General features: G+C 39.9%; 1 long non-coding RNA gene across 3 annotated transcripts in view; it reads left to right on the top strand.

The window, feature by feature from the left end:
• LOC105373760 (uncharacterized) overlaps positions 1 to 14,792 on the top strand; it is a 101,257-nt gene that overhangs the window by 63,921 nt on the left and 22,544 nt on the right. For 2 of the 3 annotated variants that reach the window (XR_001739795.1, XR_923622.2), the window contains exons 2-4: positions 4,421 to 4,567; positions 6,962 to 7,015; positions 11,323 to 11,439. This is a non-coding gene — a long non-coding RNA (uncharacterized LOC105373760). The remainder of the gene's footprint in view (positions 1 to 4,420; positions 4,568 to 6,961; positions 7,016 to 11,322; positions 11,440 to 14,792) is intronic. The other variant, XR_001739796.1, reaches the window with a different exon arrangement.

Here is a 14,792-nt window from a genome sequence, read left to right as displayed (position 1 = left end):
TTACTTTCTACTCTATATACCTCTGTGTTGTTTGCACTTTTACAAGTATTTATTTTTAGCTGAAAAACAGTCACATATATATTTGTTTTTTAAAAATATTTACAGGTTTGTATGATATAATGGAGGAAGGGTTTATGAAACTGCTTTCTAGATTTTTAAAGCTCAGAGCAAATACCAATTTCATCCATGGCTTTGTTCTGATCATCTAAAAGCACTCTGCTATGTAAGTTCAACTGCTACCATCTTTCAAAGTCCAGCTGGGTTTCTGTAGCTTACAAGAGTTGGCCTTGATTACTGAAGCCCACAGTTGCCTCCACCAATTCAAAACGTTGTATGAAATTGACTTTCTTGGTCTTCATTTGGGGCATATGATGATGGAAAGAAAAGTTCATTTGATGGATTAAAAAAAGATCAATTTAGCAGCAGCGTGAACCATGAAAAATGGTTCAGAATAACTTTCTGTTCATGTAACTCTCTTCTTTTTTAATTTTACTAAGTATAGATAATTTATTCTTTGCTTTTTGTGTTTAGTGAGAGCAATGATTGTAGGTACACTTCTCTCTATGTGATCCTGGCAATGTCACAAGTCCTTTTGGGATTTCTTTATCCAGAATATGAAGGAGTTGAGCTAGGCATGTCTTCTAATGCACCTTCTGGTTCAAAAATTGTGATCCTGTTAGATGACATGATTTTGCCTGATAACTGACTTAATTTGAAAATGGTGGCCAGGCATGGTGGCTCATACCTGTAATCCCAGTACTTTGGGAGGCTGAGGCAGGAGGATGGCTTGAGGCCAGGAATTCTAGACCAGCCTGGGCAACATAGTGAGACCTCATCTCTACAAAAAAATAAAAATAAAAAATCAGCTGGGCCTGGTGGTATTCACCTGTAGTCCCAACTACTCGGGAAGCTGAGGTGGGAGGATCGCTTAAGCCCAGGAGTTCAAGGCTGCGGTGAGCTATGATTATATCACTGCACTGCAGCCTAGGTGACAGAGTGAGGACTCTGTTTCAAAAAAAAAAAGAGGGGGGGGAAGGAAAGAAAATGGTTACATTTTGTTTATTTATTTATTTATTTATTTTGAAACAGGGTCTCACTCTGTCACCCAGACTGGAGTGCGGGGGTGCGATTATGGCTCATTGCAGGCTTGACCTCCTGGGCTCAAGTGATCCTGCTGCCTCAGTTTCTGAGTAGCTGCACTACAGGCATGCATCATCATGCCTGGCTAACTTCTGTGTTTTTTGCAGGGGGTTTCATCATGTTGTCCAGGCTGGTCTTGAACTCCTAGGCTCAAGCAATCCTCCCACCTTGGCCTCCCAAAGTGCTGGGATTACGGATGTGAGACACTGTGCTTGGCCTTTGGTTAATTTCTCTTTTAAAATGAAGTTATTCTAAATCTTTTTACCCCAAAACACTTATATATATATATAATTCCATATAATTAATCTAGTTGATGTAGTAGAAACTGCATTGACTTTGAAATCAAAATAACTTGATTTTGAATTCTAGCTCTACCATTACTGAATTCTGTTATCTTAAACATGTTACTTAGTATCAGTTTCCTTACATATAAAAACAGGGTAATAATCTTCATCTCCCTGGACTATACATGTGGAGGCACCCAAGACAGTGCCTGATATATAGTATGCTCTCAGCGAATGTTAATTTTCTTTCTTCCTTTATCAGTAACTGATTTGTGAAAGACATACTTTAAAAAGCAGCAAATGCTATTTTATACATCTAAATATCTACAAAGGAGATTCAGAGAGAACAAATCTCTGGCTGCTTTAAAACAGTGATATGATAAGTATGAGTATGTGCTAAGAGTTATGTAATCCTTGCTCTAACTGTATGCAGAAATGCAGAGCTTTTTCCTTGTATGTTGTGGTTAGTAATAGAGGGTTATAAAAGTCAAGTGCATCTTTAATGCCTTATAATTAGTTGGTTAACATATTTAGCAACTAGGAACCTTAGATTGGGGTTTATGACAACTTGGCCTAATATCAAATACTATATAGTATATAGTATAGTATATCATATATATATAGTATACTATATATTTGACATAGTATATCAAATACTATATAGTTAGATGCGGGCTAACATCTAATTGGCATAGTAGACAAAGCGTCTTGGGCCTACAATGCTTTTAGAGGCTTATGAAATTGTTTTAATTTCTCTTATTATTTATTTATTTATTTATTTATTTTTGAGCTGGAGTCTCACTCTGTCACCCGGGCTGGAGTGCAGTGGCGGGATCTCAGCTCACTGCAGCCTCCACCTCTGGGGTTCAAGCGATTCTCCTGCCTCAGGTTCCCAAGCAGCTGGGACCACAAGTGCCCAGCACAGGCGCACGCCACCACACCTGGCTAATTTTTGTATTTTTAGTAGAGACACGGTTTTACCATGTTGGCCAGGCTGGTCTCGAACTGCTGACCTTAAATGATCTGCCCACCTCAACCTTCCGAAGTGCTGGGATTACAGGCAGGAGCCACCGCACACAGCCTGTTTTAATTTCTTTTAAAATAAGAAGAAAAAAAATGAACTTTTAGGTCAAATAAAATGTTTTGATATATAGCATTAATATATTCATCTTTACACCAATGAGTTGTAAAATATAGTTTTATTTCTTTACTTTTTTGTGTAGGAAGGAGCCCAAGAAAGTTATAATATAGTCCTGGATACTTTAATGAAGGTTTAGACTTTCAGGAAACACATCTTCTGACCTGGTCAGGCTGAGTGGTGTTTATGTGAACTAATTTCACCCTTTCCTGAGATGCACCAGAGAAGGAGGCTTGTTGGTGTGGTCAGAGTCCCATCCCAGAACATGGGTCTTTTTATTTTTTATTTTTGAAAAGTTTGTCTTAGTTTTGTTTTAAAAAAATTATTTTATTTATAATTTTTTTATTATTATGGATATATAATAGGCATATATATTTATGGGGAACATGTGATCTTTTGACACAAGCACACAATGTGTAATGATCAAATTAGGGTAATTGGGGTGTCTATCACCTTAAGCAGTTATTTCTATTTCTGGCTCCACAAGAAGGTAGGAGATAAGCCAGACATGAAAGCAAAACAATAAAAACAGATATTTATAGCAAGCCATAGAGTCTTCTAGCATAAGACTAGAATCTTAGGAGCAGAGAGTTCTCTCTTATCTCATACTTATGTAAATTTAATATATAAACTCCTTCATGAATATTAATGAATTTGTAAATGAAGGTTTGGGAAAAAATGCAACAACAGCCAAAACAATTGGTAATCTAATTTTCGCTGAATAAAAGAGAAATATGAACTGCTTAAAAACAGGAAATGCAGAATAGAGCTGACTTGCTTAGATATGGAAAATGGATGTTGTGGGAGGGAAGCTATGATGCAGAATGCCTCATTATAGAGCAAGCTTGTCCAACCCGTGGTCTGTGGGCCACATGCAGCCCAGGACAGCTTTGAATTCAGCCCAGCACAAATTCATAAACTTTCCTAAAGCATTATGAATTTTTTAAAAAGCTCATCAGCTATTGCTAGTGTTAGCATATTTTATAGGTGGCCCAAGACAAATCTGCTTCTTCCAACGTGGCTCAGGAACCCAAAACATTGGACATCCCTGATAGAGGGTCCCAATGTAAAGAGGAACATTTAGTCAGTAAAGAAACTGACCTCAGCTCTGCCTCTTAATCTGTTGGCATTAAGGGGTGGAGTAAAATGGGAATCAGCCATTATAATTCTATAATCTAACAAGTCCTTGATAGGACTTGATAGGACAAAACGAACCTGAGCGCTTCGTCTTGGGAGTCCTTGTTAATCTAAAATACAGCCATAAGTGGAGGGGCCTGTAAGTTGGTTGGAGAGGAAAGATAGAAAGTGTCTTCTCCTACGACTGGGTCAGTGAGCTTTACTTTTCAGTTTAAATGTATGATTTTAGGTTAATAATAATTCATGTTAATGATAACTAACATATCAGGAGCACTTACTTTGTGCCAGACACTAGGCTAAGCACTTTATATGGATTGATCATTTAATCCCTTCAGCAATCCTGTGGTGTAGGATCTATTATCATTTCCATTTTACAGATGAAGAAACAACAGAATTTAGGGAGGTTAAGTGACGTCTTTTCAGTCTCATAGCCAGCAAAGGGCAGATCTGGAGCTTGAACCCAGGCAATTTGACCCTGGAGCTTGAATTTTAACTTCTGCCATTACCCAAAGGATCCCATCTATGGCAGGACTTTTAAGCAAAATACAAGAGTATTATGGGTTGAGTTGCCCCCAACCCCAAATTTGTATTTTATTAAAGTCCTAACCAAAATACCCTAGAATGTGGTTGTATTTGGAGATAGACTCTTTACAGAGATAATCATGTTAAAATGAGATAATTAGGGTGGGCTCTGATCCAATATTACTGTTGTCCTTTAAAGAAGGAGACATGCATACAAGGAGAATGCCAGGTGAACGTGAAGACCATCATTTGCAAGCCAAGAGAGGCCTGGAGCAGATCCTTCAGAGCCCTCAGAAGGGACCAACCCTGCTGGCACCTTGATTTTGGACTTCCAGCCTCCAGAACTGTGAGACCATACATTTCTGTTAAGTCACCCAGTCTATGATACTTTGTTAGGCAGATGTTTAGGGGCTAAAACATCTTCTGTGTGGACTAGTCCTATAGCAAGATAAAGTCCCCCAATACTATTTTGGAAACCCTGAATGCATCTTTTATCCTCTTTCTAGGTAGAGAATAATCAAAATGTGGGAAATAGGATTTTGCTTTTTGTTCTTTCAGTAATTTTGGACAAATTGAAAATAAAAGTAGTCCAATAATTTAGGATCAACAGTGTAAGCACCTTGAATTCATGGCAAGTAAGACTTGGTGCATAGTAAAATTAAGTTTTCTTCTGTGCCTCTCAGACTAATATCAGACATTGTTGCCAAAATGAATTTCCAACTCAATCCAAATAAATGGCAGTGGTGATAGTAAAGTTGTCGAGCTTAAGAACATTTAGACACCCTTGGCGAAGAAAGCTATTAGACTGAGCTGAAGTGTCTTAATCACATTAAAAATATGTCCAAAGATATGCCCAATGATACTGGTTCAGATTGCATCAGATGCAGAGTTACTTTGGCACAAATCATTCAGTGGAAAAGTTGGTAGGATAATAAAAAAGCTATTTCAGGCAGATGATTTTAAAAAATTTCTCTGTAAGACAGACTTAAAGTATTATAACCATAGTTGCAGCATTGCTCATATTACTTTCATACAAATAATTTATTTGTATACTATGGAAGGGAGTAGTTTATTCTTCCTAAATTTCTCCTTCTTTCTTCTGTCACAGCAAATATATTGCTTGCATGACTCTGTTGAGGAAGTCGGAGTCTTTCCTAACCACCTTTCTGACAGGTGGCACTTTGAGAGCTCACTTGGTTTCTCAGTGTTTCCTTATAAGCCCCGATATAATATTTATTTAATTATGCTAGTCTCAAGGGGCTTTAACCAGTGAAAGTTCTCCAGAAGGAGATCAAATGCTTTTTTTCTGGCCAGGCACAGTGGCTTATGACTGTAATCCCAGTGCTTTGGGAGGCTGAGGTGGGAGGATAGCTTGAGGCCAGGAGTTCAAGACCAGCCTGGGCAACATAGTGAGACCCTGCTTCTAAAATAAAAATCAAAAACTAGCTGGGCATGGTGGTGCACGCCTGTAGTCCTACTACTTGGGAGGCAGAGACAAGAGTGCTGCTTGAGCTGAGGTGTTCGAGGCTGCAGTGAGCTATGCTTATGCCACTGCATTGCAGCCTGGGTGACGGAGCAAGACCCTGTCTCAAAAAAAAGTTTTTTTTCTTTATTTGTTTGTTGTTTTGAAACATTGAAATATAAATGAGATTCATAGGTGAAAATAATTTTTTAAAAAATCGTATATTATTACATAGGTCTTCAAAAGAAATCATTGATCAGAAGGCATTTTCTTAGTTGCTGACATAGTTTGGATATTTGTCCCCTCCAAGCATCTTGTTGAAATTTGATCCCCAATGTTGGAGGTGGGCCCTGGTTGGAGGTGTTTAGGTAATAGTGGCAGATCCCTCATGATGGACTTGGTGTTATCCTTACTGTAACGACTTAGTTCTCATTCTATTAGTTAATGTGAGATCTGATTGTTAAAAGGAGCCTTGCACCTCCTACCCCTCTCTCTTACTCCCTTTCTCACCCTGTGACACACTGGCTCCCCTCCCTTCTGCCATGATTGGAAGCGTCCTGAGGTCCTCACCAGAAGCAGATGCTAGTGCCTTTCTTTTTGTATGGCCTGCAGAACCATGAGCCAAATAAACTTCTTCATAGCAATGCAAAGTGGACTAAGACAGTTGTGATTTGAACATATAGGTAGGATGTGTTTAATTGTATGTAAATTTTAATTTTGATAGTCATATTAGACTAGGAAATGGCATAGAAGACATTTATTGCACATGATAAGTGTACCAGATGCCTCTTGTGTGCCACTTGAGATTTTCTGGCCTTCACCTGTCTCCCTAGAGCTTTGGTCCTCTTCTTCTACTCCAAAGGCTGCGATGGCAACTGACTTGTAAGGCCCCAGGATGCAGGAGATGTGAGGGAGTTGGTAGATAATCTCTTTTTCTGTTTTCCACCCCACGATGGACTAGTCCATGGAAAAACTTTCTGTGCAACCTATCCCAGTGAGCATGTCTGTTTGTGAAGTGGCTGATTTGCCATTGCAACAGTTTGTAGTTTCTTCCCTTGCTAACCTGCAGCAGTTCTCTTTCCCATCACTCACGCTGACCTGGGATCACACCTCCCAATAAAGTTTAGCATTAAGCCTTGCCTCAGCTTCAACTTTCAAGGGAACTTTGTCTGGGGCAATAAGAGTTCCATCAATGTTTAGTAAATGGAATGGAATACAAAATAAAATGTAGGCCAAATGGGGGCTTTTATTAATCATTTTAATTTTTCTATGTTTCAGAAGAACTTGATGTATACCTCCTGACCTGTTCATCTTGTAGCTGCCTCTTGACAGGTAAGTGTGATGCTAGAAATAATCAGCCAGTCAATGCCTATTTCACTGGATAGTGAGGGATGAAGTCACATTTCCAAAAGGCGTATTTAATAAGGGAAGGGTGAATTATTCTGGGTGAGAACAGTCCAGATTGTGAGCCTGAAACTCATGTTTTCCTCAGAGAAATAGCTCACTTTTAGCTAATCCATCTTCTCTAGGTACCTCCAAGGTTAGGCAAAACTGCTGCACAAATTCTGACCTTCATTTTTCCTTGAAAAGAGAACTAAACTATTTCTCTAGTGTTTATCCAGTTTCAGTGGATTTGTGATGTGTACGTGAGACTTGAAAGACTGAAAATGTGAGGCTGCTCTGTGAAATGGACAAAAAAGAGAGAAGGCAACTTTAATTTAATTTTTTAACCACTCTCTTGCCTTTAGTAACTGAGAATTGTTAGAAATGCATAGTAACTAAAGGCAAATTGGTTAAGACATTCAAGGTGTTAAACAAAGGATACATAGCATTTGTTGTTTATTTCAGTGCCTGCCTGTACTAGAGACCCAGACGTTTATGCTCTTGGGGAGGCAGGCAGGCAGGCATTATTACTATTTTTATTGTCACAACTGTTATCAATAATAAAGAAAATGGTTACAGAAATGAAAGTAAGGAGGTGCCAGCTATGCTGACCTGTATGAAATCTTTTGCAATTTAATGAAAAAAGACAAGAAGAGACAATGTTTAGAGTATGACCTATTTTTTTCATGTGTATATTAAATTGGGTCAGGTAACTATATTTGCAGGTGACTTTTTAAAAGAATTATGTAGTCAATCATATCCATAGTAAATGAGCAAAAGTATAAATTTGAATAATTTGACAACTGAAAAGTATGAAAAGGAAAGCCTTGGTAGGGAACATTAAGTTAAAAAAGGAAACCTGAAAGTTCTGCTTTTATCAAGATACATGCAGGGGAGATTTACTATAAATCAACTGGTCAGACGTATGAGTCATACTCATGGATGTTACTGGAACTGGCTCTTTGGTTCTTACCATCACTGGAGGTAATGCTTGATCTTTTCACTGACCATAAAGATGTTTCAAAATCAGTGACATAAGCTGCACTCTACAATAGAGTCCACCGAGGCCAACCGCAGCTACAAATGTATTGAAGTATTGTCCAGCAAAGATGCGATGTTCATCTGGCTTTTACTTTTGCTATAAGGGCAGAAGTGAAAAAACATTTATTTTGACTAACATAAAGTCATTATAAATGAGGCAAGACAGCATTGGAGCATGAAGAATGAGCATCCCATCCATGCTAGTGGGAAAACTAAGAGATGGTGTGAGCTTCATGTCGGTGGAGGTGCAATGAGCAGGATTCACACGGACATCCATAGTGGTCATTTCGAGACTTTCTGGCAGGAACCTTAGACTGCTGCCTAGGAGCGTAAGGTTGTTGAGCCGTAAGTGCCACAGTGGGACAAAAAGAGAGTTTAAGCAGTAGGCAACATTGACAGCCTTCAGGTTCAAGTAGAGGAGAAAGTAAGGAGTGGAATAAACTGTAAAGGCAGACCATTCAACCTGGATTTCCCCTCAGTGAAGCAATCCCTTTCATAGTGTCCTGGAAAAGGTACAATCAGTAGTGTAGCCCAGTGGAAACCTAATGTCATTCTATGGGTTGGCTGCATCAGAAACTTCTAGGGAGCTTTAGAAATCAACACCTCCCAGAGGTTTTTATTCATTAGGTCTGAAGTGGGACCTGAGATTCTGTATTTTAAAAAAATTTCAGCCAGTGCAGTGGCTCATACCTGTAATCCCGGCACTTTGGGAGGCTGGGGCAGAAGAATGCCTTGAGGCCAGGAGTTTGAGGCCAGCCTGGGCAATACAGGGAGACCCCATCTCTACAAATAATAATAAAAAACTTAGCTGGGCATAGTGGCACACACCTGTGGTCCTAGCTACTAGGGAGGCTTAGGCAGGAGGATTGCCTGAGCGTGGGAGGTTGAGGCTGCAGTGAGTCATGATCATGCCATTGCACTCCAGCCTAGATGACAGAATGAGACCCTGTCTCAAAGACAAAAAAAATCTCTGCAGGTATTTCTTATAATCAGTTATGTCCGGGAACCTCTGATCTGAAGTCCACTTAAATGTCGACAGTAACAGGCCGGTGCGGTGGCTCATGCCTGCAATCCCAGCACTTTGGGAGGCTGAGGAGGGCAGCTCACCTGAGGTCAGGAGTATGAGACCAGCCTGGCCAACATGGTGAAACCCCATCTCTACTAAAAATACAAAAATTAGCCAGGCTTGGTGGTGCACGCCTGTAATCCCAGCTACTTCAGAGGCTGAGGAAGGAGAATCACTTGAACCCGGGAGGCAGAGGTTGCAGTGAGCCAAGATCACCCCACTGTACTCCAGCCTGGGTGACAAGGACAAGACTCTGCCAGGCGTGGTGGCTTACATCTGTAATCCCAGCATTTTGGGAGGCCGAAGTTGGTGGATCACGAGGTCAGGAGATCGAGACCATTCTGGCTAACACGGTGAAACCCCTTCTCTACTAAAAATTCAAAAAAATTAGCTGGGTGTGGTGGTGGGCACCTGTAGTCCCAGCTACTCGGGAGGCTGAGGCAGGAGAATGGCATGAACCCAGGAGGCAGAGCTTGCAGTGAGCCGAGATTGCGCCACTGCACTCCAGCCTGGGTGACAGAGATTCTGTCAAAAAAAAAAAAAATGCCAACAGTAACGCTGAGCTCATTATTTTTTGGTTGCTTGTTAACTAACGTGGTTATATGTTTCCATCTTATTTCAAACCAAAATCTGCATCTTTAAAACATCTACCCATTCTTTGGTTCTCTTTGGGTCTTGCAGAGTTATTTAAAAGTTTTAGACCAAGCTGGAGAATTTGAATTTGTGGTGGACCTAGTCATAATAGTTTTATGATCTTATCTAGCAGCAAGGTCATCTGGGAGTAGAGAATGAGAAATATGAAATAATCCAGATTTAGGGATTGGAATGATGGAAGATTAAGGAATTGAGGGATTGTAGGATGCTGCAGGGGGTAATGCTGAAATGACCATCCATTGCTGGGGAGAAAATTAAGGTCTTTTGAGCAGATATGGATTGGCATATGGGGAGAGACCATGTGGTTGAGGGGTGGGCTAGGCTGAGGGGTAAAACTCAGTGTTGCCTGTGTCCATGTCTAGCTGGTCTTCCATCTATTTCTTAGGTTCTCTATCAGTATTTTTTTTACTGACTGTGGCAAAAGGCAGATTGAACAGATACATTGGGAGCGGGAGAAGAAAGTGAGGAGATTGTTTCAGAAAGGGAGACTGACTAGCGATCTTAGAGGGGAGCAGTTCCTAGTGATGAGAAAATAAAAGTTGTGGCGAACATGCAACGGAGTTGAAAGAGCTGCTGGCAGATTCTGTGGTCAACGTGGATGGATGATGCTGTTATTTTGGGTAATGGTTAAAGACAGGAGAGAGAGAGGAACTGTGATTCAGGTGCTGAAGTGTTTGAGCACAGTGTTTGGAAGTGGGGTGGATGTGAAATAGAAATGAAAAGAGGATGGAAGGGGTGTGGAGTGCCCAGGTGTGGCCCTGTCCTCTGGGTGAGTTTGGGCAAGTCCCACATCCACTCTGGACCTCTGTAGTTTTCAAGTGAACAACATTCTATCTCCCTTACAGAGTCATTGGAAGCTCAAGTGAGACACAGTAATCATGTATGTAAAAGCCACATTGAAAAGATAGATAATCGTTAGGCTGGACATGGTGGCTCATTCCTGTAATCCCAGCACTTTGGGAGGCCAAGGCGGGTGGATCACCTGAGGTCAGGAGTTCAAGACCAGCCTGATCAATATGGAGAAACCCTATCTCTACGAAAAATACAAAATTAGTTGGGTGTGGTGGCGCATGCTTGTAATCCCAGGAGCAGTTCCTAGTGATGAGAAAATCGGGAGGCTGATGCAGGAGAATCGTTTGAACCTGGGAGGCGGAGGTTGCAGTGAGCTGAGCTTGCACCATTGCACTCCAGCCTGGGCAACAAGAGCGAAACCCCATCTCAAAAAAAAAAAAAAAAAGATAGATAATTGTTAAGGGCTGTCTTAGTTTTAAGATCGTGCAACACAATTATTCTAGTTATGACACATCAATGTTATGAGATGTCATAAAATGTATGTATTGCAAAGCTACAATTTCACTTGAAATAAAAATATGTAAAACCAGTACTCTATAGCAGAAACAGCCAAACAACCATTAAGCTAACTGGCTTTTCTCTCTGGAATTTATCAGTCATGTTTAGGGAAGATGATTCTAATACTTCTTTTTCTTTCATCTAGCACATGTTGGCACCTTTAGAAAGATCTAGAAATCCACGTGTTGTACGTAAATCTGGGGCTGTTGTTACTGCAGATGTACCTTCCACAACTTGATTTTCTGTGATGTCAATTATTCAGGTAAAAATAAGATGTCACTAAGTGGTCCTTTGATTTTGGCATTTCATTTTAAAATTTGTTAGAATTCGTTATAATTCTGTAACTCTGACTTGTAAGTTCTAGAGACTGGGTTTCTCTCTAGCATTTATTTATTTATTTATTTATATTTTTTGAGACGGAGTCTCGCTCTGTCGCCCAGGTTGGAGTACAGTGGCGCGATCTCGGCTCACTGCAAGCTCTGCCTCCCAGGTTCAAGCGATTCTTCTGCCTCAACCTCCTGAGTAGCTGGGACTACAAGCGTGCACCACCACACCCAGCTATTTTTATTTTTTTTTGTACTTTTAGTAGAGACGGGGTTTCACCGTGTTAGCCAGGATGGTCTCGATCTCCTGACCTTGTCATCCGCCCGCCTTGGCCTCCCAAAGTGCTGGTATTAGAGGTGTGAGCCACTGCGCCCAGCCTCTAGTATTTATATGTCTCTTGAGCCATTATTCTTCTTCTGACTTTGGAATATGCAAAACTCACACACAATCTGGGGGAAGATGCAGTTACAAAGGTAACCTAAGCATTTCTTATATTGGCTTTACTTTTCACATTATTGCTTCTGCTGTGAAGTACAATCTCCAAATCTCACTAAGTCCAAAGTTGGATTCAAATATGTTTTCTATTAATTAGTCTCTTGTGTCTCATTTCTAATGTGGTAGTGGCCACCTAGTCCTTTAGGAGGTTCAAGGGCTTAAAACATGAACTTTTGGTAAAGGAAGGAGGTAGTCCCAGATTCACAGTGTTCTTTCTTGAAGGATACCTGACAGAAACTGAAAGTCTGTTTCCAGGAGCCTAATCCTTGGCACAGGCAATATTTGTGGCCTAGGAACATCATAACTACTGTAGGTTCTTATTTAAACCCTTCCTGGATGGTGCTGGTTCTAAGAAGCTGAAGGACAGAGGTGAAAAGAGGAAAAACATTCTTCTGAGAATGATGAGGTCAGTTTTCTAATGTCTGGAAGACATTTCATCAATTTATAACTAACTCGTGCCCAATGATAATTACCATGTACATCTATTTCTCTCTGCAAAATAAAATGCAGAGGAGTTGGTTGCAGTTTATACCAAACCCTCTTGCTAATGAAGTAAAAGGCATAGAAAACTTGGGGGAATCTTGTACCTAACAGAAGAAACTACTTCTGTTAGGGGAAAAAAAAAGTTTAAATCACAAGGATTGAAACTGAAATTATGTTAATGGTAGCTTTCAGAAAAGGAGATTAAACAATGAAAAGATAATTTTTGCAGGATAGAATTGAATCTTTTGTATTACTTTGGTATTTTTCCTGGGCCTACATTGCTGGAAAGTGACTGTGTCATTTCCTTACTCTGTTTGGCTCAAGAGTTTTGCATCCTGTAAGCATGCAAAGAAAAAGATATGCTGAAGTCCTACCCCCTCCCCCCTCCCCGGCCCGCCCCATATCTCAGAACATGATCTTAAATAATTTGAAAATAGCATATTTACAGTGGTAACAGTGAAAATGAGGTCATTGGGATGGGCCTACTCTAATGGACTGGTAACCTTGTATAAAGGTTATACAAAAAGGAACTTTGGACACAGAGACAGACATGCATGGAAGGAAGATGGCATGAACACACACGGAAAGCACAGCCATATGGAAATGGAGACAGAGATTGGAACTGTACTGCCACAAGCCGAGGAATGCCTGGAGCCACCAGAAGCTAGGAGAGAGGCATGGAATAAATTCTCCTTCATAATCCTTAGAAGGAACCAACTCTGCCAACACTTTGACTTTGGACTTGTAGCCTCCAGAACTGAGACAATAATCTCCTGTTTAAGCCACCCAGCTTGAGGTATTTTGTTATAGCAGCCCTAGAGAATTGACATACTGTACTTGCATCAAACCTAGGAACTTTCGATGTTTACACCAATCCTTCACTGGTTATTTGAGAAACAAATTTTCCGAGCTTCTAAAATGCCCTGAACTCTATTCTCCACTCTATTTCCTCTGCACAGCTGTGGATGTATGACAGGTAAATATAGTCCCTGTTGGGAAGATTCTCACTTGTTCAGAAAGGTTGAACTGTGTAAGTGAAGTGAATTGCACGTGAATTGTGACGTAGATTACTTCACGTCATGACCGGTAAAACCTTAGACCTGAAGAATCTCCCAGATGAAGGAATATTGACAGATCTTATATATGGGGAGTGTGTTGCTGTAATAACCAATTCAAAGCAGAATATTGCTTTTCTCCAAAGAAGATTCAAAGAGGGAGTCAATAACATTAACCTTCACATCAGCTAGTCCAAGATGAAATACTAGCTCAGACATCGACTAATCAAGAATGTCTTGTCCCTTGTGTTCTTGTGTTGAGAAATAACTTAGTTCAGTATCTTTAAGATTTATTCACCTTGTATTTGCACTGATCACATACATTGAACTGCAAACTGGAGCCAAGAACTGTATTTCTGAAGCTGAGCTGGTGATAGACAGACTGTCTCTCAGTCCTTGGAGTCAATCCAGCCATCTTAAATATTGAAATGTTTCTTTATGATGCTCTAGAGACATTTTCATCATGCTGTATTCTTTAGGAGCAGCTGAACCTAACAATTGCATCTGAATGTTTTTCTAAGACAGGTAAATTCTCTTAGTAAAAATTACTTGAAATGCTGGTATGAATGACTGACAGAAAACACCTACATGGACATTTAAGAAATATAAATAAAATACACCTGGTGAAAAGGGGAAATATGAATATTTTAACTTGACATATCTGTATAAAATAAAAATATTTTATTAGATAAAATAAAATATAAATATTTTAACTTGACACATGCAGGTATGTGTATACTTGTGTGCATGTCTACATTTTTACTTAAGTTCAGTTTAAGTATCTATAGAGAGAAGATTGGAGGTGTAAAAGTCCATTTCCATCTTTATCAGCACTTTAAACCATTGTAGTCCTTTATCAGTCAGATATTGTTAATCACCATCGATACTACCAGTAGTGCTACTATTACTATAGTTACCAAGTACCAGGCAATATGATAATGGCTTCGTCTATGCAATGCTCTTTATCCTTTTGACAACTCCATGAAGTGTATACCTTTGTCTCTATTTTACAGATGAGGACACTAAGGTTTAGAGATATTAAGTAGCTTGGACAAGATCTCACAGTAAATGGTGGAGCTGTAATTAAAAACCCAGATCTTTCTGACTCCAGAGCTTGTATTCTCATCTATTTTGCAGTTTTGTCCCAAGCGTACTGTTGGGAGCAAAAAATTCTATTAGGACAAGTAAAGACCCTACTCTGAGAGCACAATTTTAAGTTGGCAAAGATCATGCAGAGCTGATATGTATATAAGGAAGC

The sequence above is a fragment of the Homo sapiens genome, chromosome 2 (genome assembly GCF_000001405.40).
Source record: "Homo sapiens chromosome 2, GRCh38.p14 Primary Assembly".
Classification (NCBI taxonomy): Eukaryota; Metazoa; Chordata; class Mammalia; order Primates; family Hominidae; genus Homo; species Homo sapiens.
This window is presented reverse-complemented; position numbering and strand designations above follow the sequence as displayed.